Source organism: Homo sapiens, chromosome 5 (assembly GCF_000001405.40).
Source record: "Homo sapiens chromosome 5, GRCh38.p14 Primary Assembly".
Lineage (NCBI taxonomy): Eukaryota > Metazoa > Chordata > Mammalia > Primates > Hominidae > Homo > Homo sapiens.
This window is the reverse complement of record NC_000005.10, coordinates 115285556-115300286: the sequence shown is the minus strand read 5'-3', so window position 1 is coordinate 115300286 and position 14731 is coordinate 115285556. Positions and strand designations below refer to the sequence as shown.

The 14731-nt window shown below is 40.7% G+C and overlaps 1 protein-coding gene, 1 long non-coding RNA gene and 1 pseudogene across 10 annotated transcripts in view, besides 1 other annotated feature; 2 read left to right on the top strand and 1 right to left on the bottom strand.

The window, feature by feature from the left end:
• LOC105379129 (uncharacterized) overlaps nucleotides 1-3359 on the bottom strand; it is a 42004-nt gene extending 38645 nt beyond the window's left edge. For 2 of the 3 annotated variants that reach the window (XR_948683.3, XR_948685.1), the window contains exon 1: nucleotides 2935-3359. This is a non-coding gene — a long non-coding RNA (uncharacterized LOC105379129). The remainder of the gene's footprint in view (nucleotides 1-2934) is intronic. The other variant, XR_948684.3, reaches the window with a different exon arrangement.
• Nucleotides 3535-3984: a silencer, noted in NCBI's record as "silent region_16248". NCBI's record gives its function as "represses an Ori minimal core promoter by ATAC-STARR-seq in GM12878 lymphoblastoid cells {active_cell/tissue: GM12878}" and the evidence as "EXISTENCE:reporter gene assay evidence [ECO:0000049][PMID:35858748]".
• Nucleotides 3633-14731, top strand: part of CCDC112 (coiled-coil domain containing 112) — a 29465-nt gene continuing 18366 nt past the window's right edge. For 6 of the 7 annotated variants that reach the window (NM_001375897.1, NM_001375898.1, NM_001375899.1 and 3 more), the window contains exon 1: nucleotides 3633-3860. Coding sequence is in view for 3 of the 7 variants with exons in the window: in NM_001375896.1 (NP_001362825.1) it covers nucleotides 3744-3860 (117 nt within the window). In the remaining 4 variants the exon portion in view is untranslated. Of the gene's footprint in view, nucleotides 3861-3996; nucleotides 4378-14731 lie in introns of those variants that run through there. The other variant, NM_152549.3, reaches the window with a different exon arrangement.
• Nucleotides 10957-11251, top strand: HMGN1P15 (high mobility group nucleosome binding domain 1 pseudogene 15; annotated as a pseudogene).

Sequence of the window (14731 nt, the reverse complement as noted above, 5' to 3'; positions counted from 1 at the left end):
GCAAAAATTTCAAGAGTATAATACATGTGTTATCAGTTGAATTGTGTCCTCGAAAGAGATATGCTGAAGTCCTAATCCCTGGTACCTGTGAATGTGACCTGATTTGGAAATGGGGTCTTTCCAAATGTAATCAAGTTAAAATGGGGTCATACTGCATTAGAATGGGCCCTAAACCAGTGACTGGTATTCTTATAAGAGGAAAGTTTGGACACAGAGACACAGATATGTGTTGTGCAACGATGGAGGTAGAAATTGGAGTAATGCTTCTACAAGCCAAGGAGTCTCAAGATTGCTGGCAATCATCAGAAGCTGGGAGAGGGGCATGGAACAGATTTTCCCATTAAGCCCCCATGAAGAAACCAGACCTGCCCACACCTTGGTTTTGAACTTCTGGCCTACTACACTATGAGAGAATAAATTTCTGTTGTTACAAACTACCCAGTTTATGGCACTTTGTTATGCAGCCCTAGAACACTAATATAATATGCTAGATGTTTTTGTAAGAAAAAAAGAAAAATAAAAATGTATTTGTCTATTTACCTTTTTTTCTTTTGCAAATGAAACATAAAAGAACCAGAAATTAACACAATTATTTACCATAGAGGATTAGTTGAAAGGCCATGGAGAGGATATGTTGGGGAGTAAGCCTTCTTTAAACATACCTTGTCATAGAGTTTTGACTTTATACATGTTATACATAACTTACTTATTTTTTAAAAAAAGTAAATTGAAAGAAAACAAAACAAAAAAGGAAACATTGAAATTGAACACAAATGTAATCAAAAGAACTGAAATATATATCAAATTGATTCCATAGCACATAGAGAAAAGGGTGATTTCAGAAAACTTCTGAACACAGTACTCTAGATATCCAGTGCAGGATATACTCTAAAAACAATAGGAAGTGCAAAATGATCTTAGGCTTCTCTTTATTTTTAGTGGCAGTATTAAAATTGTAAAAGACCACTCAACTCAAATCGTTGGTTGACTTGCTTTTTTTCCGAGGCTGCAAGATAATTCTGGACTAATAATTACAGGAATTCAGACAGTGCTATAGTAACAGGGCTCATTTGGATAAAAGGTAATACAAAAATTAAAGAAGTTTTACCTTCTCAATACACCCAAGTGACTTACTTCCTCCTACTTCACACAGGGGTGGGGAGGTGGGGCCAACCATCTCCTCCCTCCAAATCTTCCAACTACCTTGTGCTGCAACCCATGTATGCAGGACTCTCTGGCCTCCCCATAGTCCCCACCCACTACCTCCCTGTGTCAGAAGAGTCTGTGCGTCTATCAAAGACCAAACCTCCCACTTATGCTCTGGACTCCATCAGCCTTACTTTCAAGAGGGTCTGACTGCCTCTGTCCTGCAGCATCAAACTTCTGTCTCCACTAAATAATTCCCAGCAGCATGAACTCCTTCTACTAGTCCCTACCTTGAAACACAACACAACAACAAAGACCCTCTTTGATCACACATCTTCCCCCAGCTACCACTTCATTTCTCTGATCACCTGCACCATAAAATCGATCAAAATCATAGCGAAAAACAGTTTCTACCTCGTCACCTCCATTATCTCCTCAATGCAGTCAGCCAGGCTTTGGTCTACCTACCCCATAAACCCACGGCCTCCCTGTTGCCAAATGCAACCATCATTTCTTTGTTACCCCTTCACTCAGCCTCTAGGCAGTGAACCACACAGCTGACCATTTTCTCCTCCTCCTCCTTCTTTCTTTTTCTTCTTATTTCTTCTCCTTCTTCTTCTCTTCCTCCTCCTCCTTCTCCTCCTCCTCCTTCTCCTCCTCCTCCTCCTTCTCCTCCTCCTCCTGCTCCTCCTTCTCCTCCTCCTCCTGCTCCTCCTTCTCCTCCTCCTTCTCCCTTCTCCCTTCTCCTTCTTCTCTCTTCTCCTTCTCCTTCTTCTTCTTTGCCTTCTTCTTCTCCTCCATTCTTCTTCCTTCTTCTTCTTCTCCCCTCTTCTTCTTCTCTTTTTTTTTTTTTTTTTTTTTTTTTTTTTTTTTTTTTTTTTTTTTTTGTTGAGACGAAGTCTCACTCTGTCACCAGGCTGGAGTGCAATGACACGATCTTGGCTCACTGCAACCTCCGACTCCCTGGTTCAAGCAATTCTCCTGCCTCAGCCTCCCGAGTAGCTGGGACTACAGACAGGCGCCACCACGCCCAGCTAATTTTTGTATTTTTAGTAGAGATGGGGTTTCACCATGTTGGCCAGGATGGTCTCCATCTCCTGACCTCGTGATCCGCCCACCTCGGCCTCCCAAAGTGCTGGGATTACAGGCGTAAGCCACCACGTCCGGCCTCTTCTGCAAAAACTTCCCTCCACAGACTTCCGGTTTTCCTCCCTTCTCACAGATCTCTCCATATTGGTCCCCTTCTCCTCTTGTCCGTGGTCACCTTCTCGGAGTGGCCTAGGCTTAGTTCTCAGACTTCAATTTATACTCACCCTGGGTGAGCTCATTCAGTCTTATTTCAAATATTTTCTATAGGAAGATCAAATTCGTATCTTTAGCTCTCTCTCTCCTGGGCTCCAGAGGCGTTTATCCCGCTGCCTGTTTAATACCTCTACCAGGATGGTCTCTGGAGTCAGGCTGTCTAGATAGGTATCCTACCCTCTACCTGTGTGGCCATGTGATCCTTAACTTTATCACTGAAATGGAGATGATAATAGTACCTACTTCATGAAGTTATTTGTGAAGATTAAATGCAAAAGTGCATATAAAGCACTTATAACAGCCCTGGCATAAAGGAATTGCTCAATAAATACCTATTTGTTTACTTGTTAAAGGTGAAGGAACCTTACCTATGTGTCTAATTCAACAATGAATTCCCAAGGCCTAGAACAGTGCCTGACATATGCTAGGAGCTCCATATTGACTGACTGAATGAATCGATTTCTATAAAGGGGGAAAAGGTAGTACCTACAGAAATCAGCTCAGTTGCCACAGGTTGTCTTGACTGGAAGCGTCATCTGTGGCTTTTTTCCAACTTCCCAGCACTGTATTTTTGGAATCTGTCTTCTCATTGACCAAGTCCTAGGAATGTAACTGTGGCATTCCTGCCTCTGATATCTGGTTCTGTGGAGCAAGCTGGGTTTTTTTCTTTAAAAATCTAAAATATGATTTATTGTTAGAATCCATTGATAATGTTTTTTCATTTAGACTCAGTCTCAGCAGCGCTAAGTAGAAACCTAGAAAGCGGATGTATATTAGGTAAAAATATGTATATATTGACTATAACACGAATAAAATTTAAGGACGATGTAAGACAATGAATTTTCTTGACAGGTATGGGACTGGGCTGGCACAGTCGGTTAAGTGCCCAAAGGGTATATAAACCCGCGACAGGGCAGAGCGCAGCCCCCGCCCCGCCCCGCCCCGCCCCCACACCCGCCCGCCCCAGAACCCCAGACCCGCCCCTCCCCTGCATCCCGGCTCCGCCCGGCACCTTGCCCCTCCCTCGCCCCGCCCCTCCCCGCCTGAATCCCGGCCCCCGCCTCGCATTTCGGCCCCGCCCTGCACCCCAGTCCCGCCCCTCCCGCACCCCCGCACCCCTGCACCCCCGCATCTCAGCCCCGCCCTGCATCCCGACCCCGCCCTACATCTCGGCCCCGCCCTGCATCCCGGCCAAGCCCGCAGCGCAGGGAGCTGTCTGCAGAGGCCAGGGTGCGCCTGCCACGAATCCCCAGGCACCGGTGGCCGCCGCGGCCCGAGTAGCTCGGCGGGTAAACATGGCCGCACTGACGACGGTTGTGGTAGCGGCTGCGGCCACCGCGGTAGCCGGGGCTGTGGCAGGGGCGGGCGCGGCCACCGGGACCGGCGTGGGAGCGACGCCAGCGCCTCAACAGGTAAATCCGGGAGAACCGAGAGCTGCTCTGGCGGCAGGCGAGGGGCTGCAGGCCCTGGCTGAACAGGTGCCCTCTGCAGCGCCGGCGGGAGGCGCGGCGTTCGCCTCCCCTGCTCGGGGCCTGGCACGCGCTGGGCGTTGCTCTTTGTTGGCTTGTGCGTTTAACAGCTTTTGCAGAGCCGCCTCCATGTGGTTTCGGAGTCGAGGAAGACCTGGGTGGGAACCCGGCTCTGCCGCTTCCTAGCCGCGTGATAAGAACATATGCTGTCGGCGACTCACTTTCTTCTCTAAAAATTGGGAATAGTAACATGCACCTCCCGAGCTTTGGACTAACGTTATGTCTGGGGAGCCCCTGGCACAGTGCTTGATTGGAGGGGGACTCTGTGCTCAGTAATTGGTGGCAGCTCTGTTACTGTACCGGCGCTGGGAACACAAGGAGAAAGACAATATGGGATGGTCGGAGGCAGAGGTGTTTCCAGTGATCGGCTTAGGACCGCTTTCTAGGTGGTGAGGACAAGGTATCTTTGTTCAGATGTTATCAGCTCAGCGAGACTTTCCATGATCTCCCTAAAATGAATCGCCTTACGCGGCACACCCAGTCCCTGTTTCTGGTTTTATTTTTCCCCATAGCACTTAGTACCATATATTATATTACATACTTTATTTCTATTGTTTATGTTTCTCCTCACACCCCTCACCCTCCCTCGCACCCCCATGAGAATGTAAGCTCCATGAGGGCAGAAAGTATTGGAAATTTTATTCTTTATTGTATTCCCAGCACCAAGAACTATGCCTGTTGTGTAGTGCCTGGAACGTAGTATGCACTTACTAAATAATTTGTGGATCAATATAAACCTGAAGGAAGGCTGTCATGAGCTGAGGAGAGGTTCCATCTTTTTCCTCCTTTAAGGAAATACAGTGTCTTTACTCGTAGACCTTCAGGAAATTCCACCTACGGCAAATTTTCTCACACATCCTCTATAATTCTCTTTATTATTCTAACTCTGTCCCAAGTATCTCAGGAAAAAATGTAAAATATATAAATATACATAATACGTAAAGTATTTTTAAGTACTATGCTCAAAAAAATGTGTGACACCATGTTGCTGGCTTTCTCCATCATTTCTCTAAATTCTTGTAGCAATGTTCTGTCTTCTGATCTGCATTTCTTGCGAGTTGCCTAATGTTGTTATTGATGCACACTTTTGTGATGTTTGCCTTCTCAGGGGTTGGATCAGATCACCTGTGGAGCTCTTTCAGATATTTTATCAATCCCCTAGAGGATATCTAGCAATGTTTGGAGACATTTTTGGCTGTCAGAGTGGGGAGCAGGGGGGTGTTGAGGGGCTGCTAGCATCTAATGGATACAGGCCAGAGAACAGCCACCCATAACAAAAATCATCTGGTCCAAAAGTTAGTAGTGCTGAGATTGAGAACCATGGTGTATACTGTCTTACCACTTTAGTAGGGAAAGCAGAGCCTCATTGTTGAGAATCTACCTCAGCATAGTTAGGTAGAATTCTTCACGTGTGTTTGGGCTTTTTTAAAAAAACAAAACAAAACAATGCAGCATTACTGCATGCTATATTGTGATAATGTTTAGGAGTTTACATGTTATCCATTTTTGTACTTCCCCCAGCATACCACACGCACATACCTATACACACAAATTCTACAGCCTAACACCGAACTTGAATATTTGTCATATGATTAAATGAACGAATATTCCTACTGACTTTAACACTGAAACCAACTAGTATTTTCTTGAGAAGAGAGAATTTTCCTGGTGGCAATCTCATGATACTAGAGATGTCTACCAAAATATCTAAAGTTCCTGTCAGCTAGGGCTTCTATAACAAAATGCTACAGACTTGGTGGCTAAAACAACAAAAGTTTATTTTCTCACAGTTCTAGAAGCTAGAAGTTCAAGATCAAGTTGCCCTTAGGGTTGGTTTCTGGTGAGGCCTCTTTTCCTGGCCTGTAGGCAGCCACCTTCTCACTGTGTCCTCACATAGTCTTTTCTCTGTTACAAGAGGAGAGAAAGAGATCTCTGGCATCTCTTCTTATAGGAACACTAGTTCTATCAAATTAGGTCCCCACCTTAATGACCTCATTTAACATAAAGACCCCATCTCCAGATAGAGTTATTTGGGGATCAGGCCTTCTACATAGGAATTTTGAGGGAACACAATTCAGTCCATCACAGTGTCTTTAAATTACTTTGGAGTAAATATCTCTGAAGTTTTAAAACTATTTTATATTGTATTTTATTTTACAATATCCTCAGGGCGTGGAATCTCATAAATTCCTCACTCATTATGAAAAGTTAACACATTTTCCATACTTTTTAATATTTGTATATTATTTGTTCATAACCCCTCTTAGCTATTGCCTTTCAAAACTGAAGACCGCAAATCTCTATCCTCCTCTCCAATGTCATTTCCTTCTTGTTACCATCTGTTCTCTTGATCATTGTAGTTGCTGAATTATGACTTTTTTGAAGTATCTTTAACAGTATCACATTAGTGTGATGCTGGTTTTGTACCAGCATAAGGCTCTGTCTTCTGTTTTGTTTCTAAGGACCTTCCCTCTGATGACCTGAATTTTATGTTCCTTGGCTGCCTGAAATAACCCTTCAATAATAACTATTTTCACCTGTGACTGTGTAATCTTGCATCGTAAAAGGGACTTTGCAGGTGTGATTAAGATAAATTAAATACCTTAATTATCTGAGTGGACCTGGTGTAATCACAAAGGTCCTTATAAGAGAGTCGCAGGAAGATCAGAGTCAGAAGTAGGAGATGTGATGATGGAAGGAAGAGGATGGAGTGATGTGAGGAAGGGGCCATTAGCCAAGGAATTAAGGTGGTTCTAGATGCTGGAAAAAAAGGTAAGGGGGTGGATTCTTCCCTGAAGCTTCCAGAATGAATGTAGCCCTACTAACACCTTTGTTTTAATTAACATTATTTTTAATTGACAAATCTTAATTATATACATTTATGGGGTACAGTGTGATGTTCTGATATATGTATACAATGTGGAATGATTAAACCTGGCTAATAATTAACATATCTATCACCTCACTTATTTTTTTCTGGTGAAACATTTGAAATTTACTCTTATTTTGAGATACACAATACATTATTACTGAGTATAGTTAACCTACTGTGCAGTAGATCTCAAAACATTCCTCCTGTCTATCTGAAACTTTGCACCGTTTGACCAACTACCTATTTCCTTCCTTGCCCTCCCCACCAGCCTCTGGCAACTATTGTTCTACTCTGTGTTAGATTCCACGTGCAGTTTAAGTGAGATTATACAGGATTTGCATCTCTGTTTCACTTAGCGTAATGTCCTCCAGGTTCACACTTTGATTTTAGAGTAGACCTCCAGAACTATAAGTCAATAAATGTGTGTTGTTTAAGCCACTGCACTTATGGTGAGTTTGTTACAGCAGCAATAGGAGACACCAGGAAAGACCTAAGAAGCTCTCAGTCCTCATCCTTGTTTGTCTTTGAAACACTGTGCTGGCAGAAAGTAAATACTAAGATAGGGTTGTAAACTGCCTGCCTGCATGTAGGAGGTATGCTTCAGCATGCATACAGACCCCCTTTCCCAAAGGTAGCAAAGGCTAGGACACATAGTGGTTCAATGCATCTAAGGAAATCTCTGACCAATTATTGGCTGACAACTGAGCTAACCAATCAGAGATTTCACTGCCACACCTGACCAAGACTACAGATTTTACAGAATTAGTTTAAAGTGACCAAACAAACAGCAACAAAACAAACCCTGCTAAGGGGAGAGAATCTCATTTTTGGAGTTGTCCATTATATTATTTTATATGTCCAGTCTTTAACAAAGTTATGAGACACGGCAAGAAAGTATGGTTCACACATGGGGAAAACAGTAAAAAGGAACTGTCTCTGAGGAATACTGGCTATTGGACATACTAGGCAAAGACTTCAAAACAGTTATTTAAATATGTTCAAAGAACTAAAGGAAACCATATCTAAAGAACTAAGAGAAAGTGTGGGAATGAAATAGAAATCTTTAAAGAAATTAAACATTTAAAAAAGAATCAAGTAGAAATTCTGGAGTTAAAAAATGCAAGAACTCAAATGAAAACATCACTAGAGAGACTCAACACCAGATCTGAGCTGGCAGAAGAAAGTATCAACAAACCTGAAGATAGGTCAATTCACATTATCCAGACTGAAGAACAGAGGCAAGAAAAGAATGAAGAAAAATGAACAGAGTCTGAGATCTGTGAGATACCGTTAGGCATACTACCATGTGCATAATGAGAGTCCCAGAAAGAAAGGAAAGGAGAAAAAAGGAGGAAAACCGATATTTGAAGAATAATAGAAGACGTCCCAAATTTGATGAAAAACATTAACCTACATATGGATGGAGCTCAATGAACTCTAAGTAGAATAAACTCACAGAAATTCATATCTAGACACATCGTAATAAACCTGCCAATAAATATGGACAAAAAGTCTTGAAAGCACCAAGAAAGAAACAGTTCATTACATATAAGGAATTCCTCAATAAGATTAACAGCTGTTTTCACATCAGAAACCATGGACACCAAAAGGCAGAGGGATGACATAAAATAGAAAAAGACTGCCAGCCAGTTGTTCTTTGTACAGCAAAATTATTCTGTAAGATTGAAGAAGAATTTAAGACATACTGAGGCAAACAAAAGCCAAAATAACTTAGCATAATTGCCCTACATTAAAAGGAGTCCTTCAAGCTAAAATAGAAGGACACTAGACAGTAACTTGAATCCACATGAAGAATAATGTGAATAGAGTACTGCAAATATATAGGTAAATATGAAAGTCAGCATAAATGTATTTTTGTTTTTAACAAATGTTTTTCAGAAAATAGAGGAGGAAGGAACATTTTTAATGAACATTTCTCATTCTGTAAGGCCATTATTACCCTGATACCAAAATCAAACAAAAAACATCACAAGAAAGAAAAATACAGAATAGTATCTGTTATAAATACAGATGTAAAAATACTCAACAAAATACTAGCAAACATATCTAAAAACATGAAAAGGATTATACACCATGATCAATTGCAGTTTATTCCAGACATGCAGTGTTGGTTTAATATATGAAAATCAATTAATATAATACTACATATTAATAGAATAAAGGGCAAAACCGCATAATCATCCCAATAGAAGCAGAAAAGCAATTGACAAAATCCAACACCCTTTCATGAAGATAGGTCAATTCAGATTATCCAGTCAACAAACTGTCAATAGAAGAGAACTTTCTCAACCTGATAGAGGCATCATTAAGTAACGTATTACTTAATGATCAAATATGGAAAGCTGTTTCCGTATGATCAGGAACAAGGCAAAATTGTCCACTCTTACCACTTTACTCACTGAAAGTTCTAACTAGGGCAATTAGGCAAGAAGAGCAAATAAAAAGCATTCGTATTGGAAAGGAAGATGTAACATGATACTTATTCACAGATGACCTAATATATATTAAAAATTCTAAGGGATTCACACACACACAAAAAAAACTTACTAGAAAACTAATAAACAAGTACAGCAAGGTTGCAGAATACAAGATCAATATACAAAAGTCAGTTGTATTTCTATACACTAGCAATGGACAATTCAAAAATGAAATTAAGAAAAAATACCATTGATAATAGTATCACAAAGATTAAAATACATAGGGATGAATTTAACAAAAGAAGCATAAAACTTATTCTCTAAAACCTATAAAAATTATTCAAAAAATTAAAGGAGACTTATATAAATGAATACTTAATGTTTATGATTTTGAAGACTTCATTTTGTTAAGATGGCAATAATCCCCAAATTGATTTACAGATTCAGTGCAATCTCTGTAAAGATCTTAGCTGCCTTTTAAAAATTATTTTGCAGAAATGTACAAGCTGATCTTAAAATTAATATGGAAAATGCAAGGCACCCAAAATAGCCAAAACAATCTTGAAAAAGAAGAACAAAGTTGAAGGACTTACACTTGTTAAATTCAGAATTTAACTTCAAAGCCACAGTAATCAAACTATGGTACTGGCATAGGGATAGACAATAGACATATAGATCAATGAGAGTCAAGACATACACCTACAGTTTTATGGGCAGATGATTTTCAAAAGGGTGCCAAGACAATTCAATAAGAAAAGAATAGTCTTTTCAACAAAAGTTTGGACAATTGAATAACCACCTACAGAAGCTGAACTACCTCACACCATATTTGAAAAATATCTAATCTGATCAAAGATCTAAATGCAGGTCTAAAAAACTTAGAATAAAACACAGGCATGAGTCTTCATGACCTTTGGTCAGTCAGTAGTTTCCCCTGTATGACACCTAAAGCACAAGTAGCCAAAGACTAAATAGATACTTTGGATTCCATCAAAATTAAAAAACTTTTGTGCTTTAGGCCACGTGCAGTGGCTCATGCCTGTAATCCCAGCACTTTGGGAGGCCCGGGCAGGAAGATCGCTTGAGGCCAGGAGTTTGAGACCAGCTGGCCAACATCGCGAAACCCCATCCTTACTAAAAATACAAAAATTAGCCATGCTTGATGGTGTGTGCTTGTGGTCCCAGCTACTTAGGAGGCTGAAGCAGGAGGATCACTTGAACTGGGGAGGTGGAGGTAGAGGTTGCAGTGAGCCGGGATTAAGCCGCTGCAAAAGAACATTATTAAGAAAGTTAAGAGATAAGTCAGAGTATGGGAGAAAATACTTGCAAATTATATGTTGATAAGGGTCTTACATCTAAAATACATGTTGAACAAAGTTACAACAAATTTAGTTCAATTTAGATCGAATTGGCTTTTATTTGCGATTCATGAATTGGGGCAGCATCCCATTCTATAAAATAGAGTAAGAATTTCCACAGGGCATGACAGAACAGTGGGTTCTGTAAAGTAGGAACAAAAAACCCAGAAACAATAGAAAAAAGTGGGGATCTCAGCCGCTGGGGTGGCGGGAGGAGCGGCAACAGCCAGGTAGCCCAGCTCCACAGAGGCTCACACACCAGGGCTTGCAAGCACTGAGCACCAGGCAGGTGCCTTTCCTGCTGCCAAGAAGCCCAAGTGGAAAGTCAGCTCAGCAGAAGGGGAAGTGAAGGAAGAGCCCAAGAGGAGATTCTTGCAATTGTCATCTAAACCTGCTCCTACAAAAGCAGAAATGAAGCCAAAAAAGGCAGTCATGAAAGGATAAATCTTCAGACACAAAGTGCAAACCGAAGGGAAAAGGAGAACAAAAGGAAAACTGGCCAAAGTGGCTAACCAATAAACTAAAGAAGACTTATCTGCAGAAAACAAAGAAACTAAAACCAAAGAGGGTCCTGCCTTTGATGAAGGCTGAGGGAAAGAAGCCAAGTCTGTCTGGCAATAAAATGAATTTGGTTAAAAAAAAAAAAAAGGAAGCCAATCTGATTAATATCATCTACTGTGTCTTAGTAGTCCCTGTCTCCCTCCTTGTACAATCCAGAGGAATATTTTTATCAACTATCTTGTAAATGCAAGTTTTTTAGTCACTCAGGGAACATTTTTAAGAAGGAGGGAATCCCACCTCATCCTATTTTTTAAGTGTAAATGCTTTAAGAGGTGAAATCATTTGCTGGTTGTTTATTTTTTGGTACAACCAGAAAATAGTGTGGAATATTCAATTATGGGAGGCTTTGACTGTCTTGGGTGTCAGCATAGCATTCCATAGATGGGGGTTAGTTCTTATATCTTCTAATACTAAGTGTACTAAATGGCGATATGGAGTCACGGTCCTGCATTTAATGTCTTGAACATTTTAAATTACTTCCATTCCCATGTTATTTTTTAGTAGAATTGTTTCCTTATAAAAACCACTCTTTGATCATGGCTTTCCCTGTCAGAATTGTATGCACTCTGTGACATCTTTGGTTATGGTAGTCCTATATTTTCCTAATAACATTGTTAGTGTGTTGTGAAAGACTGAAAATTAGAGTTTGTAGTGTATATGGTATTAAATTGTGAGTTGCTGGGATGTATTTAACAGCTTATCAACATGTGAAGATACTGGTACTTGATCACCTCTTAAGGAAAATTTCCCTCCAAATTTAAGCTGGAAAGTCACTGGAGTAACTTTTAAAAGTACATGGTGGCTGGGTGCGGTGGCTAACACCTGTAATCCCAGCACTTTGGGAGGCCAAGGCAGGCGGATCACCTGAGGTCAGGAGTTCGAGACCAGCCTGGCCAGCATGGCAAAACCCTGTGTCTACTAAAAATACAAAAATTAGCTGGGCGTGGTGGTGGGTGCCTGTAATCCCAGCTACTCGGGAGGCTGAGGCAGGAGAATTGCTTGAACTCGGGAGGCAGAGGTTGCAGCGAGCCAATATGGTACCAATGTACTCCAGCCTGGATGACAAGAGCAAAACTCCGTCTCGGGGGGAAAAAAAAAGGCATTTTAGATTTTTGGTACCTGTGTTAAAAATTGTGTGCAAATTGAAATGTGTGTGTACTGATTTTCAACACAACCAATAAAATCTCAATTATTAAATAATATTTTGAAGCAAAAAGAAAAATAAAAGAAAAAAGCAGATTGGAGTTGAGCACAGTAGCATGTGCCTGTAGTCTCAGCTACTCAGGAGGCTGAGATGAGAGGATCATTTGAGCCCAGGAGTCCAACCTGGGCAACATAAGAAGACCCTCACCACTTTAATTAAAAAAAAAAAAAAAAAAAAAAAGGAAAGGGGATTGGTTAACATCTGTTTACTTCGGGTAACTTATGAAGGTAAAAGCAGAGAGGCTTTTCTTATTACTCGGGCTCAGGTTGACTGGACCCTTTCTGATTGGTTGCCGTGCATCTCTTGTTTTCAGGAAAAATTGGTCAGTTGGGGAAATCTACCTCTTTCCTCAAAGTTTCATTTTGATCATGTGGCACTTAGCATGAGTAACTCCATTTTTATTTTGTCTGGTCTTTTGGGGCCTACTGCAGGAGCTCTGTTCAAAACAATAGCCTCCCATAAAAGTTGAGTAGCATAAATAACTGTTACAATTCAACAATAAATAGACAGCCAAATTTTTAAAAAGGGAAAGGATTTAAGTAGACATTCCTTAAAAGAAGTGGCCAATAAGCAAGCACATGAAAAAAATGCTCAACATCATTAGTCATTATGGACTAATCAGAACCACTGTGAGAAATCACTTCATACCCATTAAGATGACTGTAATAAAAAAGACAGACGATAACAGTTATTGGTGAGCCTGTGGAGAAATTGAAACCCCTATACATTGCTGGTGGGAATGTAAAATGGTGCTGCCACTGTGGAAAACAGTCTGGCAATTCTTTAAAAAGTTTAAAATTTTGGGGCTTCGAAGGCATTATCAAGAAAGTGAAAAGACAACTCAGAGAATGGGGGGATATATTTACAAGTCGTATGTCTAATAAGGGACTTTTACATCCAGTATATAAAGAATGCTTCCAGCTCAACAATAAAAGGGCAATCCTTTGTTGTTGTTGTTGTTGAGACAGTGTGTTGCTCTGTCCCCCAAGGCTGGAGTGCAGTTGTGTGGTTATGGCTTACTGCAGCCTTAATCTCCTGGACTCAAGTGATCCTCCCACCTCAGCCTCCTGAGGTGGCCTCCTGGTGGCCTCACACCACCATGCCTGGCTAATTTTTTTTTAAGTTTTTATACAGACAGGATCTTGCTATGTTTCCCAGGCTGGTCTCAAACTCCTGAGCTCAAGCTATTCTCCCACCTTGGCCTCCCAAAGTGCTAGAATTAGAGGCATGAGCCACCAGGCCCCACTATGCCACCCAATTTTTCAAAATGGGAAAGTAAAAAAAAATAGTTACTTTATGATCCAGAAATTCTGCTGCTAGGTATATAATGAAGAGAATTGAAAACATGCATTCACATTAAAACATGTACACAAATGTTCAGATTAATTTGGCCAAATAATGGAAACACCCCAATTGTCCATCAGCTAATGACTGATGAGTAGATAAAGAAAATGTGGTAGACCCATATAATGGAGTATTATTCAGCTGTAAGAAGGAATGGAGTATTGATTCATGGTACAACACGGATGAATCTTGAAAACATCATGTGAAGTGAAAGAAGTCAGACAAGGCTACACATTGTATGAGCCCATTTATATAAATTCTCCAGAATATGCAAATCCATAGAGTCAGAAAGTAGATTAATGGTTGCCAGGAGCTGGGAGGAAGGGGAATGGGGAGTGACCTCTAATAGGTATGAGGTTTCTTTTTGGTATGATGAAAATATTCTGAAACTGGGTAGTCATGATGGTTACAAAACTTTGTGAATACACTAAAAACCACTGAATTGTACACTTCAAACAGACATATTTTATGGTCTGTGAATTACATTTTGACTTAAAATATATTTCCTAGATTTAGATTTAATACTTTGTTCTTTTTTGCTCCTGGAAATTTGAAGCCTTGTTTCCTTTTCCCCTCATCCCCCACAACCCATTTTTATTGCTCAGCAATCCCTCTGGGTGATACCTCCAAAATACATTGAGTCTTCTTTTATTTTCTGTCAGCCCAGTAGTCCTGGACACTGTCATTCCTTGTCTCTATAGCTGTACTAAGTACCTCATTGATCTCCTGCTTCCAGTCTTGCCTCACTCCACCCCCACACCTCCCATCAATTTCCTCTCCAAAAAAATAGCCAGAAAATTGTTCTTAAAGAGTTAAATGTATCATGGCATTTCCCTGCTCAAAACTCTTCAATAAAATCCAGACCCCCTAAGTGACCTAAAATATCTGTATGATCTGGCACATACCTGCCTCTCTACTTTCATTTTCCTACCAAGATCCACACCGTTACTAATCTCATGACACAATTGGCCTTTCTC